General features: G+C 37.0%; 2 protein-coding genes across 19 annotated transcripts in view, besides 5 other annotated features; one reads left to right on the forward strand and one right to left on the reverse strand.

The window, feature by feature from the left end:
• The window catches only part of KLHL28 (kelch like family member 28), a 37624-nt gene extending 23161 nt beyond the window's left edge, over positions 1-14463 (reverse strand). For 3 of the 10 annotated variants that reach the window (XM_024449635.2, NM_017658.5, XM_017021378.2), the window contains exon 1: positions 14362-14463. Coding sequence is in view for 3 of the 10 variants with exons in the window: in XM_011536849.3 (XP_011535151.1) it covers positions 13403-13444 (42 nt within the window). In the remaining 7 variants the exon portion in view is untranslated. Of the gene's footprint in view, positions 1-6138; positions 6226-13402; positions 14002-14112 lie in introns of those variants that run through there. The other 7 variants (XM_011536849.3, NM_001308112.2, XM_006720174.4 and 4 more) reach the window with 4 other exon arrangements.
• Positions 13530-13619: an enhancer, noted in NCBI's record as "active region_8295". NCBI's record gives its function as "activates an Ori minimal core promoter by ATAC-STARR-seq in GM12878 lymphoblastoid cells {active_cell/tissue: GM12878}" and the evidence as "EXISTENCE:reporter gene assay evidence [ECO:0000049][PMID:35858748]".
• Positions 14134-14648: an enhancer, noted in NCBI's record as "H3K27ac hESC enhancer chr14:45430821-45431335 (GRCh37/hg19 assembly coordinates)". NCBI's record gives its function as "activates a minimal SCP1, AML or CMV promoter by ChIP-STARR-seq in naive and primed H9 embryonic stem cells {active_cell/tissue: H9 hESC(naive and primed)}" and the evidence as "EXISTENCE:reporter gene assay evidence [ECO:0000049][PMID:30033119]".
• Positions 14134-15163: a biological region, named in NCBI's record as "H3K27ac hESC enhancers GRCh37_chr14:45430821-45431335 and GRCh37_chr14:45431336-45431850".
• Positions 14190-14999: an enhancer, noted in NCBI's record as "active region_8296". NCBI's record gives its function as "activates an Ori minimal core promoter by ATAC-STARR-seq in GM12878 lymphoblastoid cells {active_cell/tissue: GM12878}" and the evidence as "EXISTENCE:reporter gene assay evidence [ECO:0000049][PMID:35858748]".
• Positions 14649-15163: an enhancer, noted in NCBI's record as "H3K27ac hESC enhancer chr14:45431336-45431850 (GRCh37/hg19 assembly coordinates)". NCBI's record gives its function as "activates a minimal SCP1, AML or CMV promoter by ChIP-STARR-seq in naive H9 embryonic stem cells {active_cell/tissue: H9 hESC(naive)}" and the evidence as "EXISTENCE:reporter gene assay evidence [ECO:0000049][PMID:30033119]".
• Positions 14706-24686, forward strand: part of TOGARAM1 (TOG array regulator of axonemal microtubules 1) — a 112242-nt gene continuing 102261 nt past the window's right edge. For all 9 annotated transcript variants that reach the window (NR_131765.2, XR_943403.3, NM_001308120.2 and 6 more), the window contains exon 1: positions 14706-16983. Coding sequence is in view for 7 of the 9 variants with exons in the window: in NM_001308120.2 (NP_001295049.1) it covers positions 14938-16983 (2046 nt within the window). In the remaining 2 variants the exon portion in view is untranslated. The remainder of the gene's footprint in view (positions 16984-24686) is intronic.

Genomic DNA, 24686 nt, shown 5'->3' on the forward strand with positions numbered 1-24686 from the left:
TAGCAGCTGCTTAGAGTAGACAAAAGGAATACAGGTCATGTATACAATATAAGCTATTTCCTTCCTGTCTCACTCACATTTCAATCACAAGTTATGGCAATAACGAAAAAGTACATTTGGTTTCCATCTTAAAACCATCAATTCTATAAATTCAAACATTTTGAACACTATTGAGAGAGTATAGCACTTCATTCTTATACATTTTTAAGTGGAAAAAATCCAACTCTTGAAATTTTTATCTTTGTCAAGTACGTAATTGTTTCATACTTATTTCACAATGAATTTTAAGTCAGTTAATAAATTATGTTAATATGGCCACTTTCCAGCTGGTAACAGCCTCCACTGCTGATCTCTGCAAATAATCTCACACCTATCTACTAGAAAAATTCTCAAATGTTATTGCAGTCATGGTATAAACAAGTCCCAAGAAGCTTCTGGGTCTTCCAGTAGGTACTTTTTTTCCAGAACATAATATATACTAGTAAGTAGATGGCAATCAGAAGGCATAAGTTTAGATCTGTACACGTTCTGTTAGTTATTCCAGTGTTGATCTTTTTAACCTATGTAACTTCTTTTAGCCTCAGTTTTATGAAAAAGTTAAAATCTAGACTTAAAAGTAAAGAATGAATAACAGGAAAGGCAAGTAGATAGAAAAAATAGGTAATGGGGTTAAGAAAGCAGTCCTCGTTAACTTTACCTTCTCAATCTTTGTTTTCCTTATTTGCAGAATGAGATCATAATAATACCTGTACTTTATTATTCAGGTATTAATGTAGCTGAGGTTTTTGAGGATCAAATCAGACAATGTACATAAAAACATGATAAACTGTAAGTGATATTGTACTACAGTAGTACTATGGTAGCAGTGAGGCGATAGAGATAAAACATATCAGTGAAGAACACAGACTTTGGAAATATAAGGTAATGAGTTTTAGTCCCATCTGAATCTTAAATTATATTATTAGGTGGAATAATAGGTACCAGCCTTTCTTAATCTAAGTATTAATTGTTTCATTCATAAAATAAGAATACCCCACTTATCTCAGAAGTTTACCTGAAAGTGATTCTCTAAAGTATAAAGTTCTACAAAATATACAGCTTGAGGTGTTAAGAATATAGTACTTACGTCTCACTGTACTAAATTGCCACTTCCCAATATCCCCACTTTCACTAATTCCCATTCTTTCCCACAATGACCTTTTACTCTTATGATGCTCATGTAATGACTATAGCTCTATATAAAACTTGCTATCTCCCAAATATTTTCTTACCACACGTTAGATTTTGTCTATAACCTTTCTCCTCTGATCTTCCTTTCCTCCAATTCAAATTCTCAAAACTCAAGATCAAAAATTAACTTTACCTGGACGTCTATAAGCATTTATTTACTATATCCCTTTACATGCAATTAATTCAATTATACGTGTTGCTCTGTAAAACATACCCCTTTCAACTCTCATTTTCTGATTTAACAAGGAGAATGGTAGACTAAAAAGTGAAGGATGAACAACAGAAAAGGAAAATGTATGCGAAAAATAAGAGAAGGGATTGAAAAAGGAGACCTAGTCACTTTGTAAATTCATCTCTCTCTCAGACTAAACAATTATGTTTCAAGATATTTAAAAGAGCCTGCAAATGAGATTATTGAATCATTACCAGTGCCACAGGACTGAAGACTATTTTCAAAAATAAGACAGTAAATTCTACAATATGGTAAGATTTCTGTTAATTTCAGATAACATTCTAAAACAAATTATTAAAGATTTGACTTGTGAATACCGATAAGAAGATGTAGAGATCTTTAGGATTAGGATATATGAGCTAAAAATAATAAGACATGTTACAGACTAGGTTTGTTTCTTTTTAAAAATTTATTTAGAAGACTTGTAGATCAGAAAAGTAGACTTGATATTTAACTAGATATTAGTAAATAATTTTATAATGCCCTTCATGATTTTTCAAAGAACAAAACTAAAAAAATATATAAGCTAGTTCAGTTAGCTAAATCAGCAACTAGTGGAACAAATACCCCCCAGAGTATACCACTTAATGGAATGAGGCCTAGAGGGATGCTTCTAGTGGTATTCTGTAAGGCCAAGATGAAGATATTTTATGTCCTGAACTTTGAAGATGACATGAAGCTGCAAAGGACAGCAAAAGCATTGACTAACACAATAAGGATCCTGAAAGACTTATATCTAACAAGAAGAAATTTAAAAGGGATAAATGTAAAAATTCTATAGCAGATTCCAAACCAACTACCCAAGTATAGAATAAGAGAGAAAAGACGCATCTGTAGAACGTGTTTAACAGGTTTAGGGATTTTAATTGCAGTACTATTTTAACACCATAAACTTATGTGGGTTTAAGCTGCATTAACAGAACTATAATATACAGAACTACAGAGGAGAAATTTTTGCTTTGCTCTGCAAATGTCAGTCCATATCTGTACTACAGATTTTGGGTATCATCCTTTGACAGGGATCTAAACAGACTGTAACACCTGATGAACAGCAGAAATTCAAATCATGTCTTACAGGTAATGGAACAGAGGTACTGAGTCTGGGAAAAAAGGAGGTCTGAGTTATCACATGAAAAACCAAGGAATGAAGGTTACTCAACAACAACAGGAATAATAATTATAATATAGGGTTGTTTTGAGGATTAAACGAGTTTATACATAAAAAGGGCTCAGAATAGGGCCTATCACTTAGTAGGCTCTTAATAAATATGAGTTATTACTAGTAAATTCTTCGAGTTGTCCCTTGAGAAGTAGTCAACTTTCTATGTTGCACTACCTCTCACTATTAGATAAGAAACCCACTCTGTCTTCTCTGATACCCTGGGCAACACAAGTATCACAGAATTGTTGATTCTCAAATCAAGGTTATGAAGTATTGACTAGATTCATTTTTAATATAATTAGGAATCACATAGTGATAGATCCTATATTGTTAACCTAATTTTTGTGTACCCAATTCAAAACTGGTACACCATCAACATATGACACGCAAAAATGACACAACATAGGTCTGTAAATACACACATACATGTATGTACACACACAACACATAAATATACACACATGCATATATTTGTATGATATGCAGTATAGTTTTAAGAGACTGGGCTTTGGTACCAGGCTTCCCGGGTTACAATACAATGGTCTGTATTATGTGACCTTGGGAAATTCAGTCAAAAGTTTCAGTTTTCTCATTTGTAAAAAAATAGACAAAATTGTATAAAAAGCAGTTGTAAATATGCCTTTCTATGTGCTGGTACATAAGCACTCAGTAATTGGTAGACGTTATTTATTTTTACTGTTCATCAACCTTTAAAAAGCTTGGTTATTGCCAACTATATCCATGAAATGCCTTTCCATGCATACCAAAAAAGGAAGGAAGTTTGCTTACTGTCCAGGGAACAAATACCTACCAAAGCCAGGCCAAAGCCTCACTAATTCTATCAGTAAAGAGACATATGAGCCATTTTAAAATATAGATGGCTTATTAGATTTAGATAGTTTATTACTTACAGATTGAAAAGAAGATTAGCCAAAGAGTAAACTGCCTGGATCCTTGTCCCGCACATCAAAAATGGTAACACAAAAAAGGGGCTGGCCCCATGAAAACTATGGCTAAGCAGTTTTCTATTCTGTAGCTCTATTCTAAGGGTGTGGGATGGGGTCAAAAGTCTAACACCTAATCACAACCAGGGAAGTGAAGAGAAACTGTCTCATGACACACTTGTAGGGGAAATAGAGAGGTGAGTGGAAAATTGGGAGATGACCTCATAGCAGCTCCTTAGAGGCCTCTCACTCTCTCATATTCCAGGAGAATCACAAGGTGTGTCAAGCCACGGATAAGCTGCAGTCCTGAGGTCCAAGTCTTTGCCTACATGGATACATGCAAGGTGACCAGAGTACCATGACAAAGTTGTTCCCCTATACTTATGCCCCTATAATACTGCTTTATCTCACTTTCCTAGATCTATGTTGTTAAAACCTTTTAAATATTTTCTGACCATTCCAACTAGTAAGTAAGACATTCTATTCATTTGAACCAGCATGGTTCATTTTACTCCATAATAATAGAAATTATCAAAGTGTTTAAAATGGGCCAAAGAAAAGGCACTGGTAAAAGTAACTTCATAAAAGAAAGCCTAGCATATTTTTATAATTGTATTAGATGCAAATGATATACTTTCATTCCTTGTAAGAACTACTGAGAATAAAGTTTAATTTTAAAAATTATAGTTTGAATGCTTAATCAAAACAGTGTCAACTAGCAACTTCAACAAGGCAAGGTAAAAATAGGGAACTTAAAATGAATTACACTAGCAGTTTTCCATAACATAATTTTTTTGTTTTGTTTTTGTTTTTGTTTTTCAGACAGGTTCTCATTCCTGTTGCCCTGGCCAGGGTGTGGTGGCGAGATCTTAGCTTACTCACTGCAGCCTTGACCTCCTGGGCTCAGGTGATTCTCCCACTTCAGCCTCCCAAGTAGCTGGGGCTACAGGCACACATCACCACGCCCGACTAGTTTTTGTATTTTTTTTGTAGAGAAGGAGTTTCACCATGTTGCCTAGGCTAGTCTCGAACTCCTGGACTCAAACGATCACCCACCCTGGACTCCTAAAGTGTTGGGATTACAGGTGTGAGCCACTGAGCATGACCAAATTAAATCTTAAAATTTTTAATTTGGCCCCTTTCCTCTCTCAAAAAATATGACTTTAGAAAAATGCACAGAATTCTAACATTTTCAAATATAGAGTTTTTAAAACAGTGGTTTTCAAATCTGATCCTTGTACCAACAGCATTAGCAACATTTGGGAACCTGCTAGAAATGTAAATTCTTGAGCCCCATCACAGTTGTAAGCAATCAGAAACTACATAGGGCAGTGGGGTTGCAGGAAATGGGCAAACTGTGTTTTAAGTCCTCCAGGTTATTCTTAGGCAAAAGTTCCAGAACCAGTTAAAATATTTATAGCTCAAGTTTAGCAGCTTAAAAATTACTGAAAATTATTTTTAAGAAATATTTAAAATGAAAGTTTTTTAGAGACAGGATCTCACTATGTTGCCCAGGCTGGAGTGCAATGGCCACTCAAAGGCATGATCATGGCACAATGCAACCTCAAACTCCTAGGCTCAAGTGACCTACTTGCCTCAGCCTCATCAGTAGCTGGGACTACAGGTGTCCACCACTGCGTTTGGCTCAAAAACTATAATGCCTTCAAAATTATACATGGCAACTGTGACTATATTTGGTTCTCAGCTATCTACCCATAAATGGCTAAAAAAAGTAATTCAAAGAAGTAATACTTTCTAATCCTCAAAGCCCCACATTTGTCAAACAGTTTTACACTGGCAGTTTCATTTACCTCAGTAACCACTTTGCGTAAAAGGAAGGGTAAGTACCATAAAAAAAAAAAAAACAAACACAGGAAAGAACAGGGAGTAAAAGCATTAATTTTAGAGTCGGACAGATTTGGATTTAAGTCTACATTTTGCTACTTAATAGCTGGGCTATTTGATACTTGGGCAAATTACTTATTCTAAGCTTAAACATTCTCATTTGTAAAATTTGTTGTGGATTAACAGGATTAAATGAGACGTATGTAAGGAAAAATAGATCAATGGAGAACAGAAAATATAAAAGTAGATCATTTAGATATGCAGGTTTAGTATATGATAAAGGTGGAATCTCTGCGAGGGAAAAGAGAAACGTTTAAATAAATGTGTTGAGATAACGGAATAGCCATATGGAAACAGGTAAAACTAGATTTCTGCTACATACCTACACCAACAGGATAAATTACAAATGAATCAGAGGTATATATATGAAAAATGTAATTATATAAATATTAGAATAAAATACGGGTAAAAACTTATGTTGAAATTTAGTCCCCAATGCGGTAGTATTGAGAGGTAGGGCTTTTAAGAGGTAACTGGCAGAGTCCTTATGAACGGATTGATCCACTTATGGATTAATGAATTAACATGTTAGCAAATTAAAGGGTTATCACAGGAGTGGGACCAGTGGCTTTATAAGAAGAGGAAGAGAGAGCTGAGCTAGCACACTCACAGCCCCCTCACCATGTGAGGCCTTGTGCTGCCTTGGGACTCTGCAGAGTTCTTACCAGCAAGAAGGCTTCCACCAGATGCAGCCCCAAGAAAGCTCACACCAGGTGTGGCCCCCTTGACCTTGGACTTCTCAGCCTCCATAACTGTAAGAAATAAATTCCTTTTACTTATAAATTATCCAGTTTCAGATATTGTGTTATAAGTAATGGAAAACAAACTAAGACAACCTGAGATTAGGGAACAGTTTCCTAACTTTGAAACAAAATCCAGAAGACATCAGTGAAAAAATAGGTAAAACTGATTACATTTTAAAAACTTGGAATAAAGAAATCGTAAGTAAAAATATAAATGAGACTGAGAAAAATATTTGTAGCATATATAAAATATATATCAGTAATACATAAAATATTTCTAAAATTTTCTAGCCCTATAGGAAAAATTGGTTAAAGAAATGAACAGATGTTTGTTAAAAACATAAATGATTTTAACCATACAAAAATTGCTCAACTTCACTTAAAATCAAATAAATTAATACATGGAGTTAACAATTCTCTCTTGACAGTATAGTCTGTTGGTGAGGATGTGAGAAACAGGAAATCTCACTCATTGCTGTGGGAATAGAAAATGATACAAAACCTCTGGAGGTAAATCTGTCAAAATACAGCAAAATTACATTTGGATTTTTCCTTTGACCCAAAAACCCTACTTCTAAGAATCTATCCAAAAATTACACTGGCAAAAATGTATAAAGACAAATCCATAAGGCTAATAATAATTGCAGATCTATTTATAAAAACAAAATAATATACTCATGTTTCTTATTCCTCATATTTGAGAGACCAAAAGGCAACTGACCAAGATTTTTAAAACAACTCTCATGTCCAGCAACAAAAGAATGGTTGTGAAAACTATAGAGCATCCACACAATGCAGTACTATACAGCGATGAAAAGGAATGAGGAATCTCTGTATAGAATACTCTGCAGTGATCTCCCTGATCTAAGCAAAGTGTGTTTAGTGTGTCACCATTTATCTACGATAGGGAAGATTACAAACATACATAATCATTTCTATTAAAAAAAGGAAATTTTACACAATATATACTTTTAAAGGTTACCTACAAGAGGAGGTATGGAACTAAAAACTAGAGGATAGAGATAGAAGGTAGATATTTTTGAATATACTCTGTTTTATAGATTTGACTGTGGAATCAGAAAAGTATTTTATGTAATTATAAAGCACAATTAAATCTTAAAAACATGATCCATAAGAAATTTGAAAATTGAAAATACAAAGGAAGAAAATATCAACTTAGTGGCCTTACCATACCATTCCAAATAACTTTAAAACAGTAATCTGAAGTCTCTATTGCGACATGCCCTAAAATATATATCTTATGCTGTTTTCAGTAATCGCATTGTTGATAAGGACACTGTTTATTTGTATTGTGACACTGTTAATGTGTGTATTGTGCTATAAAGCAAATGAGTAATGATATGATATTCTATCAACCCTAGGGTCACTGTGATCTAGGATTCTTGGTATGGGAAAAAGAAGGTAACGACATAACACTAAGATGTTAATTATGAACCTCACAGTCTGTATTTGAATAAAAAGTATGAGAATAAATATATGTATATAAATAACAGTAAATATTCATATATACTAATACATAATTTATATATAATACATAAAATACATGTGAGCTATACATACATATTAAATATACGTAATATTATTTTAAGGAAAAAAATAAATTATATTTCCTAGCTCTGTCTACTGAAAAGGTCTAGAAACTGACCATCCCGGTAGCAAAGAACACTTCTAGCATTCAGATGTACTCTCTAAATACCATTTCCCTCAAAGAGAACAGAACTCCTTGGGCAGATAGCTGATACCATGTCTGGGGCAGAAGATGTCAAGACACATTTGGAATCTAAATCCTAGGTAGTATAATCCCAGCACTTTGGGAGGCTAAGGTGGGAGGATAGCTTGAGCCCAGGAGTTTGAGACCAGCCTGGGCAACACGGTGAAATTCCGTCTCTACAAAGAAAAAAAACAAATAAAAAAATTAGCTGGATGTGGTGGCACATGCCTGTAGTCTCAGCTACTTGGGGGGCTGAGCTAGGAGAATTGCTTGTGCCCAGGAGGTCGAGGCTGCAGTGTGCAGTGATTGCACAACTGCACTCCAGCCTGGGAGACAGAGTGAGGCCCTGCCTCAAAATAAATAAATAAATACATCCTAGGTAGCAAGAAAGCTATCAAATACTACAAGAGTCATATAAAAAATATTCAGGGGCCAAACTAAATAGGCTTTCACTAGTCAAAGACAGGACAAACTGATCATCAATAATAATAACTGCAATTGATTAAACGATATCAGATATTTTAAATGCATGAGTTAATAATGATACTTAAAAAAAGTCCTAATGGTCAACACCGGACGATGCTAATGTAGCAACTCATTTTTTGAAACCTAGTAAACAAAGAGAAATAATCAAACATTTATTATGCCTTTCCTACACTAACTGTACTACTGGGTTTCCAAATAGATGAGTTTTTTTGTTTTTGTTTTTTAAGAGATAGGGTCTTGCTACCTTGCCGAAACTAGTCTCAATCTCCTGGTCTTAAGCGATCCTCCCACCTTGGCCTCCCAAAGTACTGGGGTTACAGACATGAGCCACTACACCTGGCCAAATTTCTCTTTTTAAAAGTATCCCTGTTAATAAATAAAGAAGGAATAATGGAATATTATCATTTTGCATCCTTAATAAATAATGGGCATTGATTGTGAAGGGCTGTTTATATCACAAAAAGAGAGATAGCTAGATAATTGGGCCTTCTGATGGAAAAACATAACACCCATGAGTATTCTCACGTCCCAACCCCAACACACACCAAAGTCAAGCAAATTAAACTACAGCCAATTCTCTAGTTCCAACTATTAATTTACATAAAATATAGAAAATAGAAAAATCATGTTAAACAATACCAGAAAGATGCAATTAGCAAAAACATACCGACTGTGAAAAATCTTGTAAAATAAACTAAATTCTTCAACAAATAAACTGCAAGAAATAAAGAGAATGAATCTATAAATTTAAAAGACGTATCAATCAAATACAACCTGTGAACCATAGACTTGTGTGTGCACCCACATATTTAGAAAACAGTTGGAAATTTACACACTGACTGGATTATTAATATATTAATTAATCACTGCTATTTTTTGTTGCTAAATAGTGGTATTGTGGTTGTGTTTTTAAGAGCTTTTTTCTTTTACAGATATATGCTGAAATTGGTGTGCAATGGTGCAATTATAGCTCACTGTAACCTTGAATTCCTGGGCTCAAGGGATTCTCCCTCCTCAGCCTCCCAAGTAGCTAGAACTACAGGCGCATGCTACCATGCCTGGCTAATATTTTTTATTTTTATTTTTTGTAGAGATGGGATCTCACTATTTGTCCAGGCTGGTCTTGAACTTTTGGCCTCAAGCAATCCTCCTGCCTTGGCCTCCCAAAGAGCTGCGATTACAGGTGTGAGCCCCCATGACCAGCTGTATTGAAATATTTGTAGATGAAATAATATGTTGTTAGGATTTGCTGCAAAATAATAGGGGATGAGGTTGTGGAAGGGGATATAGATGGTGTCATGAGTTGATAACTATTGAAGATGCGTGATAGGTAAATAGATGTTCATCATATTGTTCTGCTTTTACATGTTTTTGAAATTTTGCACAGTAAGAGACTTTTTTCTTAAAAAACAGAAAATATAAGGCACAAAATTTTGAATAAGACAGTTTTAGAATCCTAAGTTCAGGGAGTTTAAATGAATTAGCAAAATCACATAATTAGTAAAAAACATTACTGGGACTAGAATGTTTTCTTAATCTTGGAACAATGCTCTCTACACATTACATACAAAAAATTAACTGCCAAACAATGTTGAGCTGCTTAAAATATTTACTGAATCAATTTATAATTGTTATCACTTCTCATAAAATGAAATAATTCTATGAAAGAGCATCTAGAATACCTTTGACTGTCATAATGTACCAGTTAACAGTCTAAGCTTTTAACATGTATTAATTCCTTTCATCCTCAGAGCAACAATATAATAGGCACTGTTATTATTACCACCATTTTACAGATAAAGAAATGTGAGGCACAGAGAAATTAAGTCCAAGGCAAGATTTAAACCTTGGCACTCTGTCTATGTAATTCTTAAATATTCTATTACACTGCCTCATTTATTAAATAAGCTCAGAATTTCTTAATCTTATTAAAATCTTAACTCAAACAAGAAATTAAAAATGTGCAGAATGGAAATCCAGAGGATAGATCATTCATATAAAATCTTTATAAAATAAATACACATTAGATACAAAAATACACAGGGCTTTAAAATGAAATAAAGAAGGATCCATGGAACAATCATTGCCTTCCAGTATTTGCCTAAAAGCAGATTTGGTATATCAGGTTCCTCCATATCTCTGCCATAGTTTTTGTTCTTTTTTTTTTTTTTTAATGATAAAACAAACAATAGTATTCTGAATCTTGGTAACTGCATTAGTCAATATCGAATAAAAAGTATCCATTTGAAATTAAAATTAAAATAAAACTTTCCATAGTCTACAGTAACTTAACTTTAGGCTCTGAAACCAAGTTAATAAAGGTCAAGTTGCGAGTTTTGTACCTATCTACTTAATTGACACCTAAGCCACAAAACAGTGGTGCTGAAATCAGTTGGGAGGCACTTATCTGCCACTATATAAATATAGATCACACCCAGAGTAAATAAATGGTGAACAGAAATCAAGATTACTCTTAAAAAAAAAATTCAAACCGACAGTTTTCTTTAAAAAGAGAAAATAAGAAATGATTTATCAAATTAGGAGAATATTCTATCACATCTGCTCTTTTCTTAAATTTCTTTCCTACAGTTCAACTTTCCTCATAGGATAATTCAACTAATAATGGTATATAATTCTATCAGTGAGCCTATGGAATAAGTTAGGATATTTTCCTTTTATCTGAGATTTGACTTTTATTGACAAACAAAAGAAAAGTAAAATTAGAAGCCTGTCAAGAGCTCTTACTGGATGTGGTAATGACTTTGAACTTGCTTTCTTCTGTGTTATTTCTGAATCCATGTTATGACAGGCGTCTAAGTTACATAATTAATCCCTGTCCACTGAAAAACTGCAACAGATGTGAAATTCTGTTAACTTATACATAGTAATTAATATGTAATACAAGTTGGATTTTTGTTTAAAATTATAGTTTTGACTGAAGACAGAAATACATAATGGCTTTGGAAGATAAACCTAAGTAGATGAAAATATATCACTCATATACATCAAGAAAACTGATTCAATCCTGTATAAAATAAGCTCATAATTTCTTAACTTATTAAAGTGTTACCTCAAACAAGAAACTAAAAATATTTTGAATAGAAATCCAAAAAGGATAGATTAAAATATATATAATCTTCAACCAAGGATTGAAAGAAAAAATAATAAATTAAAAAATATATAATCAAATGATATATAATAAATGAATAATAATGGAAAAAATCTAATTTTATCCTAAAGTTTCAACAGTGACCTCCACCAAAACCTTCTCCAAGCTCTAAGCAAATGTGAGTTTTACTTTCTTCCTCTGTCCAATTACTCTTTTGTGGAAACACCCATAAAATGTTCCATAGTCCAAATGTAGAAGATGTAACCTCAAAAAATTCTTGTGAGGATTAAATGAGTTAATATTTACTAAGTACCTAGCATGGTGCATGGCACATAGCAAATACTCAAAACATGGTATTATTATGATTGTTTGTTAATATTAATAGCAACTTTCATTTGCATAGCATTTCTTCACAATAACTTCTCAAACTACACAAAATTCTTAATAGTTTACAGAATTCACACTGACGTTCAATATTCCTGGATGTCTGTAAAATTTGAGTAAGAACACAGAAAAATCATAGTGATTCGCCCAGGGAACTAATGTGTTATCTCTGATTCTGGAAATAAAGTAAGTTTTTAGGGCAATTGTGTTTACCCTTAAGTTCAGCTAAAAAAATTAACATATGTAGCACACACATTCCTATAATTCACTAATTTAACTACATTCTTGAAATTATTGAAATTTTAAACTTGTTTTAGCTGAATTTGCAATTTTCAATGTATCCTTAACCACTTCCTTTTAACTTTCTGAGGTGTACTATTAATAAAACACCTAATAGTGTATTCTACTATCTAAAAATTGATTACAAATTTGTACTCTCTCTATATATGATTAAATACAAAAGGCTTTTTAAGTCAATATACGAGAAATTCCTAGATTTCCAAAGATTAAAAAAAATCTGCTTCGTAATAAAAAGAATACACACTCAATGAATGAGATTTATGTTCCACAAAATAACTCTAAAAGATAATCAGTAAGACGTGATGCTGATGAAGTCCCATTTCCTAAATATCCACTATGGAGACTAATGCCTCTTCTAAGTCTTCAATCAAAGAGACAAAATGTAACAGATAAAAAATAAATTGCAATCTGTAATGTATAGTGATCCACAGGGATCTAAAAAAACAAGAATCAAAAGGAAGACTCATCTTGCTTTGTTCCCAGGAAAAGGGCATGATAACTGCTTAAGTATCCACGTCTCTCATTTAAGACTTTCGAAGTTCCTTTTCTGTGATTCCATGATTACCACACAACCTCTAGTTATTAACTTGGCTTCCCAAGTTCTTGGATACAAGAAAGAGTGCACTGGATTTTCAACTTGAAAATTCTGATCCAACATAAACTGGCACTGTAATGTGTACATCATTGTCTAGGTTAGTTTGAACTGGGTTCCTCAAGTCTGGGCAATACATGACTAGAAGTCTACACATTTGAGCTTCTTAGGTTGGAACTGTGAGAACCAGACACTTTCTCATTGACAACTGCTACAATCATTTCTTGTTTTTCACCTCCCTGTCTTTAACCTGTCCCTAAAATGAAACATGCTAGCTAAACCTAATTTAGGCAGATTCATTTAAACACGAAAATGGCTCATTAAAACCAAAGTAACAGCCTAGAATTTAAACCAAAACATAGGATGTATATTTACACAGCCTCATTTACATTATAGTCTATTCCCCACCCCCACCCCCCCAAAAACAAAACAAAACAAAACTGATATTCAAATCGTACTTTAAGGCAAAAATCCAGAAATTATTTTTGCACTTGCATCAGCTGGGAGCATTATTTATAAAGCTGTTTGGCATATGTGACTCATTTATTCCAAGACTTTAAAAAGTATTTAAGAGAAATCCCACCTGGTACAGAGCAGGGTAGGAATACTTGCATTTGAAGTGCATAAATTTGGGTCTTCAAATGATAACTTAGACTTTTCGCACGAGTCATTCAAAAGTAATAGTATTATTCCTTCAAAAAAAAAAAATATCTCTTCCACACTCCAAAGCATTCAGGCTCACACTAGACACTCCAGCTCTTCCACTGTGTCCGTTTAAGTATCACTTATGAGGAGAAAATGCACACAAAATTCTCAGTTCGCCTAAAATAAATAAATGTCTACTATCATTCCTAAATCCACAAGGCAGAATTCTCTTAGAACCATGATGCCAAGAACTTCCACCGCAAGTGAAATTGTCTTCGCAATCTCTGTCTCTAGGAGACTGAAAGGCTGCAGAGACGCTTGAGGATCCTGCAGGGAGGCTAGGGCGGCAGACGGAGGGGGCGGAGGTTAGGGGAGAGTCCCACAGAGGAACTGCATTAGAAGGAAAGATTTTGATAACGTCTAAGGGAGAGGCGGTTAGCTACAGGGGGAAAAAAACAGACCTATTTCCATATTATGTACGTTGTAAAGAAAACGCAAAGTGATGAGGGTAAGGAAACGTTGCCAAAAACAAACAAACAAAAACAAAAAAAAATTAACCCTCTGCGGCCGGAGGGTTAAGAGAAGTCGACAAAAGGAGAAGGGGGAGGCGAATAAAGGCCCCAAAGACCAGGAATTGAAAAAAAATACCCGATTTGTGAGCTTGGCCGTGGTCCAGATCTTCTGTCCTGATAAGCAGATGGCAAGAGGAAAGGATCGCAGTTACTCAGGGTGGTAGAGAGTAACGCGTTTACAAGGGTGACGAGCCCTGCACAAGAAGATGTCGCCTCTCTTTCCACCTGCTCCGCTCAGTCCTTTGCCTCTTACTCTAGCACCAGTGGCATTCGGGCAAAACACTGCCAAAGCCTGCACCGCTGGAGGACAGCAAAAGGAAAATACCTGAGTCTCAGTAATCACACGGGCAGCGACAGGAGGAGGAACCGCGGACAACTGGAGCCTGGGCTGGATCCTCACTAGCTCCGGTCAAACCCTAACTCTTACGGGTGGGGCGGGCAACTTCCGCCCAGAGCAAGGAAAGCGTCACATCCGTCAAATGGCTTCACCCCTCCTCCCTTCTCCGCTGTAGCTGCGTTTACAACGTTCTGACTTCCTCTTCCAGGAGACTTTGGCCTAGTCTCAACACCTGACGTGGACTACATAACCCAGCATTCATCACGGCAAGTGGATTTCCGGGTCAAGAGGTCCGCGCTGGGTACATCACCATGGAAGCAATCGGTTTGGTCACGTGGTGCCCTTGGTTACGCCCGGTGGCAGCTGTGGGGTCTAGGGCTCAGACGGGGGCCATTTTGCCAGAGGCTGCCTCCCGGAGTTGGGGGCGGCCTGGCGGCAGGCTGAAGCTGTTCTTTTGCCTCTTCTGCAGCTTGGGGCTTGGAGAGGATCTGGAAGTCTGGGCTCCATCGAGCCCTTTGGAGACGGCAATGGTTTCTTCCAACCACCACCACCTGACAACCCTGCATGGCGGCTGCCCCCTCCGCGCTGCTTCTGCTGCCGCCCTTTCCAGTCCTCTCTACCTATCGGCTCCAGAGCCGCAGTCGTCCTTCCGCCCCAGAGACCGATGATAGTCGAGTTGGGGGCATTATGAGAGGAGAGAAAAACTACTACTTCCGTGGAGCTGCGGGGGACCACGGTTCCTGCCCCACTACAACTTCGCCTCTGGCCTCGGCCCTCTTGATGCCCTCGGAGGCAGTCTCAAGCAGCTGGTCTGAGTCTGGAGGCGGTTTGTCAGGGGGAGATGAAGAGGACACTCGGCTCCTTCAACTCCTCCGCACTGCCCGGGATCCTTCTGAGGCCTTCCAGGCTTTGCAAGCTGCTTTGCCGCGGCGGGGCGGTCGACTTGGCTTCCCCCGACGCAAGGAAGCTTTGTATCGGGCACTGGGCCGAGTGCTTGTGGAAGGAGGTAGTGATGAGAAGCGGCTCTGCTTGCAACTTCTCTCGGACGTTCTCCGGGGTCAGGGGGAGGCAGGCCAGCTTGAAGAGGCCTTTAGCTTAGCACTTTTGCCTCAACTAGTTGTCTCGTTACGGGAAGAGAATCCAGCCCTGCGGAAAGATGCGCTGCAGATCCTTCATATATGTCTGAAACGTAGTCCTGGAGAGGTGCTGAGAACGCTTATACAACAAGGACTGGAAAGTACCGATGCCCGACTTAGAGCTTCCACAGCACTACTGCTTCCCATCTTGCTTACTACTGAGGACTTGTTGCTTGGTCTGGATCTCACCGAGGTGATAATATCCCTAGCCCGAAAGCTTGGTGATCAGGAGACAGAAGAAGAATCTGAGACAGCTTTCTCCGCACTTCAACAAATTGGGGAGCGACTTGGCCAAGACAGGTTTCAATCTTACATTTCTCGTCTGCCCTCTGCCCTGAGGAGACACTACAATCGCCGCCTGGAGTCCCAGTTTGGAAGTCAGGTTCCTTATTATTTGGAACTTGAAGCCTCTGGATTTCCTGAAGATCCCCTTCCCTGTGCAGTGACTCTTTCCAACAGCAATCTTAAATTTGGGATTATTCCTCAGGAGCTGCATTCACGATTATTGGATCAGGAAGACTATAAGAACCGGACCCAGGCCGTCGAAGAACTAAAGCAGGTGCTGGGAAAATTTAACCCTAGTTCTACTCCTCATTCTAGTCTTGTTGGCTTCATTAGTTTGCTATATAATTTGTTAGACGATTCTAACTTCAAAGTGGTGCATGGCACACTTGAAGTCCTGCATTTACTGGTTATTCGCCTTGGAGAGCAGGTACAGCAGTTCTTGGGACCAGTTATAGCAGCTTCTGTCAAAGTGCTGGCGGACAACAAGTTGGTGATCAAACAAGAATACATGAAAATCTTCCTCAAGCTAATGAAGGAAGTAGGACCTCAGCAGGTGCTTTGTTTACTCCTGGAACATCTCAAACATAAGCATTCCAGAGTGAGAGAGGAGGTGGTGAACATTTGCATCTGCTCCCTGCTGACCTATCCTAGTGAGGATTTTGACTTGCCCAAACTGTCCTTTGATCTTGCCCCAGCTCTTGTAGATAGCAAACGCAGGGTACGCCAAGCAGCTTTAGAAGCTTTTGCCGTATTGGCATCATCAATGGGCTCAGGTAAAACCAGCATCCTTTTTAAAGCTGTGGATACAGTTGAACTGCAAGATAATGGAGATGGAGTGATGAATGCTGTGCAGGCCAGATTGGCTAGGAAAACCTTACCAAGGCTCACAGAGCAGGGATTTGTGGAATATGCAGTACTGATGCCATCTTCTGCCGGGGGTAGGTCAAACCATTTGGCACATGGAGCAGATACGGACTGGCTTTTGGCTGGTAACAGAACTCAGAGTGCACACTGTCACTGTGGTGACCACGTGAGGGATAGCATGCACATTTATGGATCTTACAGCCCAACTATCTGTACCCGAAGGGTATTAAGTGCAGGAAAAGGAAAAAATAAATTACCATGGGAAAATGAGCAACCTGGAATCATGGGAGAAAACCAGACCTCCACTTCCAAGGATATAGAGCAGGTATGCTTCTCTAATTTTCTTGAGTCGAAAGTGTGAAGAATTTAAATGAAAATATGCCCGTGATGACTTAAGGGTCAGCCTGCTTGAGGGAAACATGTTATGCTTTGTTTTAAATTGATTTTAAATCCATCTGAATGTTGGTACTCATTATAATGGTACAGATCACAAAGGACCATTTAATAGGCTTCCTGCTTGATAGATTTAATTAAATTTGAGACACATGTGATATAGACAATACCAAGATTCAGTTTTAGTTACTGTAGCATGTCAGTTTATCTCATTCATACAACAAACATTGAATACCTAGTACGTGCCAGATAAAGAGCTAAATTCTGGGAATGAAGATGAGGCCAGTTTCACACAGTATAGGAAAAAGGTCAGACCTGGGAATTAGCAGTTAACAAATTCGTTAAGTGCTAAAGTAGAAATATAAAGAGTCCTGCAGGAATACTGAAGACAGAAAAACTAATTCCACTAGAAAAGTAAAAAAAAAAAAAAAAAAAAAAGGAAAAAGAAAAAGCCTCCACAGAAGATACAACATTTGAACTGAGATTTTCCCCCCAAAGCTTTTATTTAAAAAATTCCAAATCTATAGGTAAGAGTACAATGAATACCCATATACTTCATCTATATTTACCAGTTGTAACATCTTGACATATTTCCTCCATATTTGCTGAACCATTTGAAAGTAAATTGTGGATATCTTGAGATTTCACTCCTAAATATCTCGGCATATATCTCCTAAGAATGACATTCTTCTTTTATAACCATAAATCATTATTGCACCTAAGACTATCAGTAGTAATTCAATAATATGTAACAGACAGCCTGTATTTAAATTTCCCAAATTGTCTCCAAAAGTGTTTTATATTTCTTGTTTTACTTTTATCATCCAGGATCTAGTCAGGGTTCATGTGGTTAATGTCCCTTGTAATTTTATCTAGAATAATATCCTACTTGTTTGTTTCTTTGTTTTTTCATGGCATTGGCCTTTTATAAAAAGAGTTTGGGGTAGTTTTGTAGAATGTCCCAAGTTTTACATTTATATGTTTACTTGATTAGATTCAAAATAAATATTTTTAGGAAAATATTACATAGGAGATACATATATATTAAGTAGAAGATAAGTAGTGTGAACTTCACAGTACATTACATTATGAGGCAAATGATATCAGGCTGTCCCATCACTGGTGATGCTTAATTTTACTGTTTGGATAAGGTGGTAATAGCCAGATCTCTCCATTGTAAAGGTATATTTTCCTCTTTAGAATTAGCATATAATCAGTACAGTGATACTTTGAGACCCTAAGAATACCCCGACAACTTTTCACCCACTGTGTTTAGCATCCACCAATGGTCTTTACCTGTATCATTTATTACACTGGGGGCTTACAAATAGTAATTTTTTTTTTTTTTTTTTTTTTTGAGATGGAGTCTCGCCCTGTTGCCCAGGCTGGAGCGCAATGGCGCAATCTCAGCTCACTGCAACCTCTGTCTCCCAGGGTCAAACGATTCTCCCACCTCAGTGTCCTGAGTAGCTGAGATTACAGGCTCCCACCACCACGCCCAGCTAATTTTTGTATTTTTAGTAGAGACAGGGTTTCACCATGTTGGCCAGGCCTGTCTCAAACTCCTGACCCACCCGCCTCGGCATCCCAAAGTGCTGGGATTACAGGCGTGAGCCACCATACCCAGCCCAAATTGTAATTTTTAAATTACAAAGGCCAGGCAGGGTGGCTCACACCTGTAATGCCAGCACTTTGGGAGGCTGAGGCAGGCAGATAACCTGAGGTCAGGAGTTGGAGACCAGCCTGGCCAACATGGTGAAACCCCCGTCTCTACTAAAAATACAAAAATTAGCTGGGTGTGGTGGCACACACCTGTAATCTCAGCTACTCGGGAGGCTGAGGCAAAAGAATCACTTGAACCCAGGAAGCAGAGGTTGCAGTGAGCTGAGATCACACCACTGTACCCCAGCCTAGGCAACAGAGCAAGACTGCATCTCAAAAATAATAATAATACTAAAATAAATTAATTACAAAAAGAGTAATTTTAAAAAATTGTGACATTTCTTCTCTGTTTACTACCTGCAATTCTTTTTTTCTTGTATGTGTAATAATTACATATTATTTTTTGTTACTAAATTTTTTTTAACTTTTTCATGATAAAATTGTCCCAAATTTAACTAGTGGCTGGCTCCTGTGTCCTTTTAACATGACTGTTCTTTAGTCTTTGATTATTTCCTTAACATAACATTTGGACGATTGCTTGAGGCCAGGAGTTCGAGACCAGCCTGGGCAACATAGTGAGATCCCCATCTCTACAAAAATAAAAAAACTTAGCCAGGCATGGTGGTGCAGGCCTGTAGTCCCAGCTACTTCGGAGGCTGAAGTGGGAGGATTGCTTGAGCCCAGGAGTTCCAGACTGCAGCAGTGAGCCATGATTGTGCCACTGCACTCCAGCCTGCTCAAGAGTGAGACCCAGACTCAAAAACAAAATAAAACAAAACAAGAGTAACATGATGCCTAGCCTTACTTTGGTTTTTTTTTTCTTGCTTCAGACCTGGAATCAGCCATTTTTTTCAGAAGTCCTAGTACTGCCTTTTTATTGGGCAGTGGTATTTGAAAACAAAAGTCTGAGTATAGATTTGCTCATTGCTATTTCTTGCCATTGTGGTTTGACCCTTTCAGTGGACAGAACCAAGGAGTACTTGTTTTTTGTTTGTTTGTTTTTTAATGCATTTATATTAATACCTCCAATTCAAAACTAGTACTGCAGGGTTCTTTCTCATCTTCCTTTATTCCATATTTGAATCTCCCTTCGTTCACAATAAAATCCCTGCTACCCAACATCAGTAATATTTATTCATATGCTGTATCCTACAGTAACCCCCCTCCCCCCACAAAATTGCTAGACCAGCAACAGCAACCAACTACCTACTAAGTAAAGTTTAAGATTTCGTTACAGTTCTTTTTGTATTTAGAATTATTCCACAGTCAGAATTTTGTGGTCAAACTTTTCTTAAATTAAGTCTTTTATCTATGTAATTATTATTCAAACAGCATGATGAAAGATGAATAGGAGCTTGCTAAGTGTGGATAGGTCCCAGTGAATTTCAGACTAAAGGAATAGCGTGTTTAGAGACACTGATTATGTGAAAGAACTTAGCAAATTAATAAGAGAATGGGGAATTTTTGCACAGCAAACACAAGGGGCCTAGTGGGAAGTAGCAGATGATACTGGAGATGTAGATGGGGTAAAGTATGGAGATAATATCTTGCAAATAATGAGTTTGAACCTTCTGCAGTAGACCTCAGATGGGAGGAGGTGAATTGAGTGTTCTCTATGGTTCCTTTCAATCCCAAAACTTGTAGATTTTTTTGGAAATAATTTTCAGATTTATATAATCTGGTTATATGTTATTTCCTTGTATTATAAGCATTATCTGGTAGTGATGATTTTTTTTAAGGCATTACTCTTAAGACTGCTTGTCATGTGTCAAGTCTGAGATGTCAGTGTATATATTATTAAAAAGATTCTGGTGCCGGCCAAAGCAAAAAGAATCTGAAGATAAGTGCATTTCTGAAATGCCAGCATAGACATATTTTGCTTTTGAAAGATGCTGTGGTGTAATTAAAACTTAACCCAGAAATCAAGTTGTAATTACTTGTTCAAAAAAGGTCTTAGAAGAACTATTTTAATAGAGGACAGGGAATAAATATCTAAACAGTTTTATGTGTGCAGTTTAAAAAAAGTATATATACATGCATATTTTAAATTATTAGACTTTATTTTTTATTTATTTATTTTGAGACGGAGTTTCACTCTGTCGCCCAGGCTGGAGTGCAGTGGCGCGATCTCGGCTCACTGCAAGCTCCGCCTCCCGGGTTCACGCCGTTCTCCTGCCTCAGCCTTCCGAGTAGCTGGGACTACAGGCACCCGCCACCATGCCCAGTATTTTTAGTAGAGACGGGGTTTCACCGTGTTAGCCAGGATGGTCTCGATCTCCTGACCTCGTGATCTGCCCGCCTCGGCCTCCCAAAGTGCTGGGATTACAGGCGTGAGCCACCGCGCCCGGCCTGGACTTTAATTTTTAAAGCAGTTTTAGGTTCTCAGCAACTTTCAACAGAGAGTACAGATAGTTCCCATATACCCCTGTCCACACAAGAACAACCTGACCCACCTCATCCGGTACTTTAGGGGTACATTTGTTATAATCAGTGAACCCATATTAACATATAATTATCACCCAAGGCCCATAGTTTACATTAAGATTCACTCTTGTGTTGTACATTCTATGGGATTTTGGCAAATGTATCCATGTCTTATGTTCAGTACATTCTGTGGGGTTTTGACAAATGTATCCATGTCTTGTATCCACCATTATAGTATCATAACAATAGTTTCAGTGCCCTAAATTCTCTGTTCTCTACATGTACATTCTTCCCTCTCTCACCCCATTCCCAAGCCTTAGCAACCAGTGGTCTTTTTTTCTGTCTCCATAGTTTTGTCATTTCCAGAATGTCACATACTTGGAGTTATACAGTAGCTTGCATTTTCAGATTGGTTTCTTTCACTTAGTAATATGCATTTAAGTTTCCTTTATGTCTTTTCATGGTTTGATACCTCATTTCTTTCTTTCTTTCCTTCCTTCCTTCCTTCCTTCCTTCCTTCCTTCCTTTCTTTCTTTCTTTTCTTTCTTTTCTTTTTTTTTTTTTGTGAGACAGCCCAGGCTGGAGTGCAGTGCGATCTCGGCTCACTGCAACCTCTGCCTCCCGGGATCAAGTAATTCTCCTGCCTCAGGCTCCCAAGTAGCTGAGACTACAGGCCCACACCATCATGCCCGGCTAATTTTTTGTATTTTTAGTAGAGACGGGATTTCACCATGTTGGCCAGGCTGGTCTTGAACTCCCGGACTCAAGCGATTGCCCACCTTGGCCTCCTAAAGTGCTGGGATTACAGGTGCAAGCTACCACGCCTGGCCTATCAGATGTATCTTTTGAAAATATTTTCTCCCACTTTGTGTCTTGTCTTCTCATTCTCTTGACATTAACTTTCTCAGAGCAGAAGTTTTAAAGTTTTAATAAAGTCCAGTTAATCAGTTTTTTCTTGCATGGATCATGCCTTTGGTATCATATCTAAAAAGTCATCACCATACCCAAGGTCATCTAGGTTTTCTCCTATGTTATCTTCTAGGCATTTTATAGTTTTACAATTTACATTTAAGTCTATGATCCATTTGGAGTTAATTTTTATGAAGGGTGTCAGGTCTGTTTCTAGATTCATTTTTTTTTACATGTGCATGTTCAGTTGTTGCAGCACCATTTGTTGACAACACTGTCTTTACTCCATTGCCTTTACTTCTTTGTCAAAGATCAGCTGACTGTATTCATGTGGGTCTTTTTCTGGGCTCTTTACTCTGCTCCATTAGTGTGCCTATTTTTGCCCATAACACATTGTCTTGATTACTGTAGCTTTATAGTAAATCTTGAAGTTCCGTAGTGTCAGTCTTCTGACTTTGTTGTTTTCCTTCCATGTTGAGTTCACTCTTCTGGGTTTTTTGCCTCTCTGTATAAACTTTAGAATCAGTTTGTTGATGTCCAAAAAATAAGTTGCTGAGAGTTTGATTGGGATTGCATTGAATCTATAGATCAAGTTGAGAAAAACTAACAGCTTGACAATATTGAGTCTTCCTATCCACAAACATGGATTATCTCTTCATTTATTTAGCTCTTCTTTGATATCTTGCATTGGAGTTCTATACTTTCCTCATATAGATACTGTACATATTTTGCTAAATTTAGATTGAAATATCCTACTTCTGTATGTTAATGTAAATGGTAATTTTTTTTAAATTTCAAATTCCACTTGTTCATTGCTGGTATAGAGGAAAATGCTTGACTTTTGCACATTAACTTTGTGTCCTGCAAGCTTGCTATAATATAATCATTTATTATTCGCAGGAGGATTTTTTTTGTTAATTCTTTGAGACTTTCTATGCAGACAATCATGTCATCTGTGAACAAAGACAATTTTATTTCTTCCCAATCTGTATACTTTTTATTCCTTTTCTTGTCTTATTGCATTAGTTTGAACTTCCAATATGATATTGAAAAGCAGTGATGAGAGAGGACATCCTTGCCTTGTTTCTAATCTTAGTGGGAAAGTTTTGAGTTTCTCATAAATATGATGTTATCTGTATGCTTTCTTGTAGTGTTCGCTATAAAGTTGAGAAAGTTCCCCCTGTATTCCTAGTTTGCTGAGAGTTTTCATCATATATGGATATTAGATTTTGTCTAATGCTTTTTTGCATCTATTGATATAATTATGTGATTTTTCTTCTTAAACCTGATGATGTGATGGGTTATATTAATTGATTTTCAAATGTTGAGCCAGCCTTGCATACCTGGGATAAATTCCACTTGGTTGTGGTGTGTTATTCATTTTGTATATTGTTGGATTCAATTTACTAATATTTTGTTGAGGATTTTCACATGTTTGTTCATAGGTGATATTGGTCTGTGGGGTTTTTGTTTTGTTTTGTTTTTGTTTTTTTTCTTATAAGGTCTTTGCTGGTTTTGGTATTAGGGTAGTGCTGGCCTTTTAGAATGAGTCAGAAAGTATTCTCCCTGCTTCTATATTCTGAAGGTAATTGCAGAGAATTGGTATAATTTTTTCTTTAAATGTTCAGTGGAATCCACCAGTAAACCCATCTGACTCTGGTGCTTTCTGTTTTGGAAGGTTATTAATTATTCAGTTTCTTTACAGATACAGGCCTAGTCAGATTATCCATATCTTCTTGTGTGTGTTTTTACACATTGTGTCTTTCAAGGAATTGATCCATTTTATCTAGGTTACCCAATTTATAAGCATAGAGTTGTTAATAGTATTCCTTTATTATCCTTTTAATGTTTATGTGATTTGTAGTGATAGTCTGTCTTTCATTTCTGATATTAGTAATTTGTTTCTCTGTTTTTCTTAGCCTGACCAGAAGCTTATCAATTTTATTGATCTTTTCCAAGAACCCGAGTTTGTTTTTGTTGATTTTCTGTTGATTTCCTTTTTTCAGTTTCACTGATTTCTATGCAAATTTTTTATTTTTTATTTTTCTCCTGCTCACTTTGGATTTAATTTGCTCTTCCTTTGTTAGTTTCCTAGGATGTGCACTTAGATGATCGATTTTAGATCTTTCTTCTTTTCTAATATATGCCTTCAGTGCCATAAATTTCCTCTAGGCACCGCTTTCACTGCATACCGCAAATCTTGATACATTGTATTTTCATTTATTTCAAAATATTTAAAAATTTCACTTGAGATTTCTTTGACTTGTATGTAACTTAGAAGTGTATTTAGTCTACAAGTATGTTGGGGTTTTCCATCTGTATTCTGTTCTCACATTGCTGTAAAGAACTGAGACAAGGTAATTTATAAAGAAAAGAGACTTCATTGACTCATAGTTCCTCATGGCTGGGTAGACCTCGGAAATTTACAATTATGGCAGAAAGTGAAGAGGAAGGAGTCACGTCTTACATGGCCGGAGAAGGAGGAAGAGAGGGCAGGAGGAGATGCTACACACTTTTAAACAACCAGATCTCTTGATAACTCACTATTATGAGAACAGGAAAGGGGATATCCAACCCCATGATCCAGTCATCCCCCAGCAACCCCTCTTTCAACATTGAGGATTACAATTTGAAATGAGA

This window comes from Homo sapiens, chromosome 14 (genome assembly GCF_000001405.40).
Source record: "Homo sapiens chromosome 14, GRCh38.p14 Primary Assembly".
In the NCBI taxonomy this organism is placed as follows: domain Eukaryota; kingdom Metazoa; phylum Chordata; class Mammalia; order Primates; family Hominidae; genus Homo; species Homo sapiens.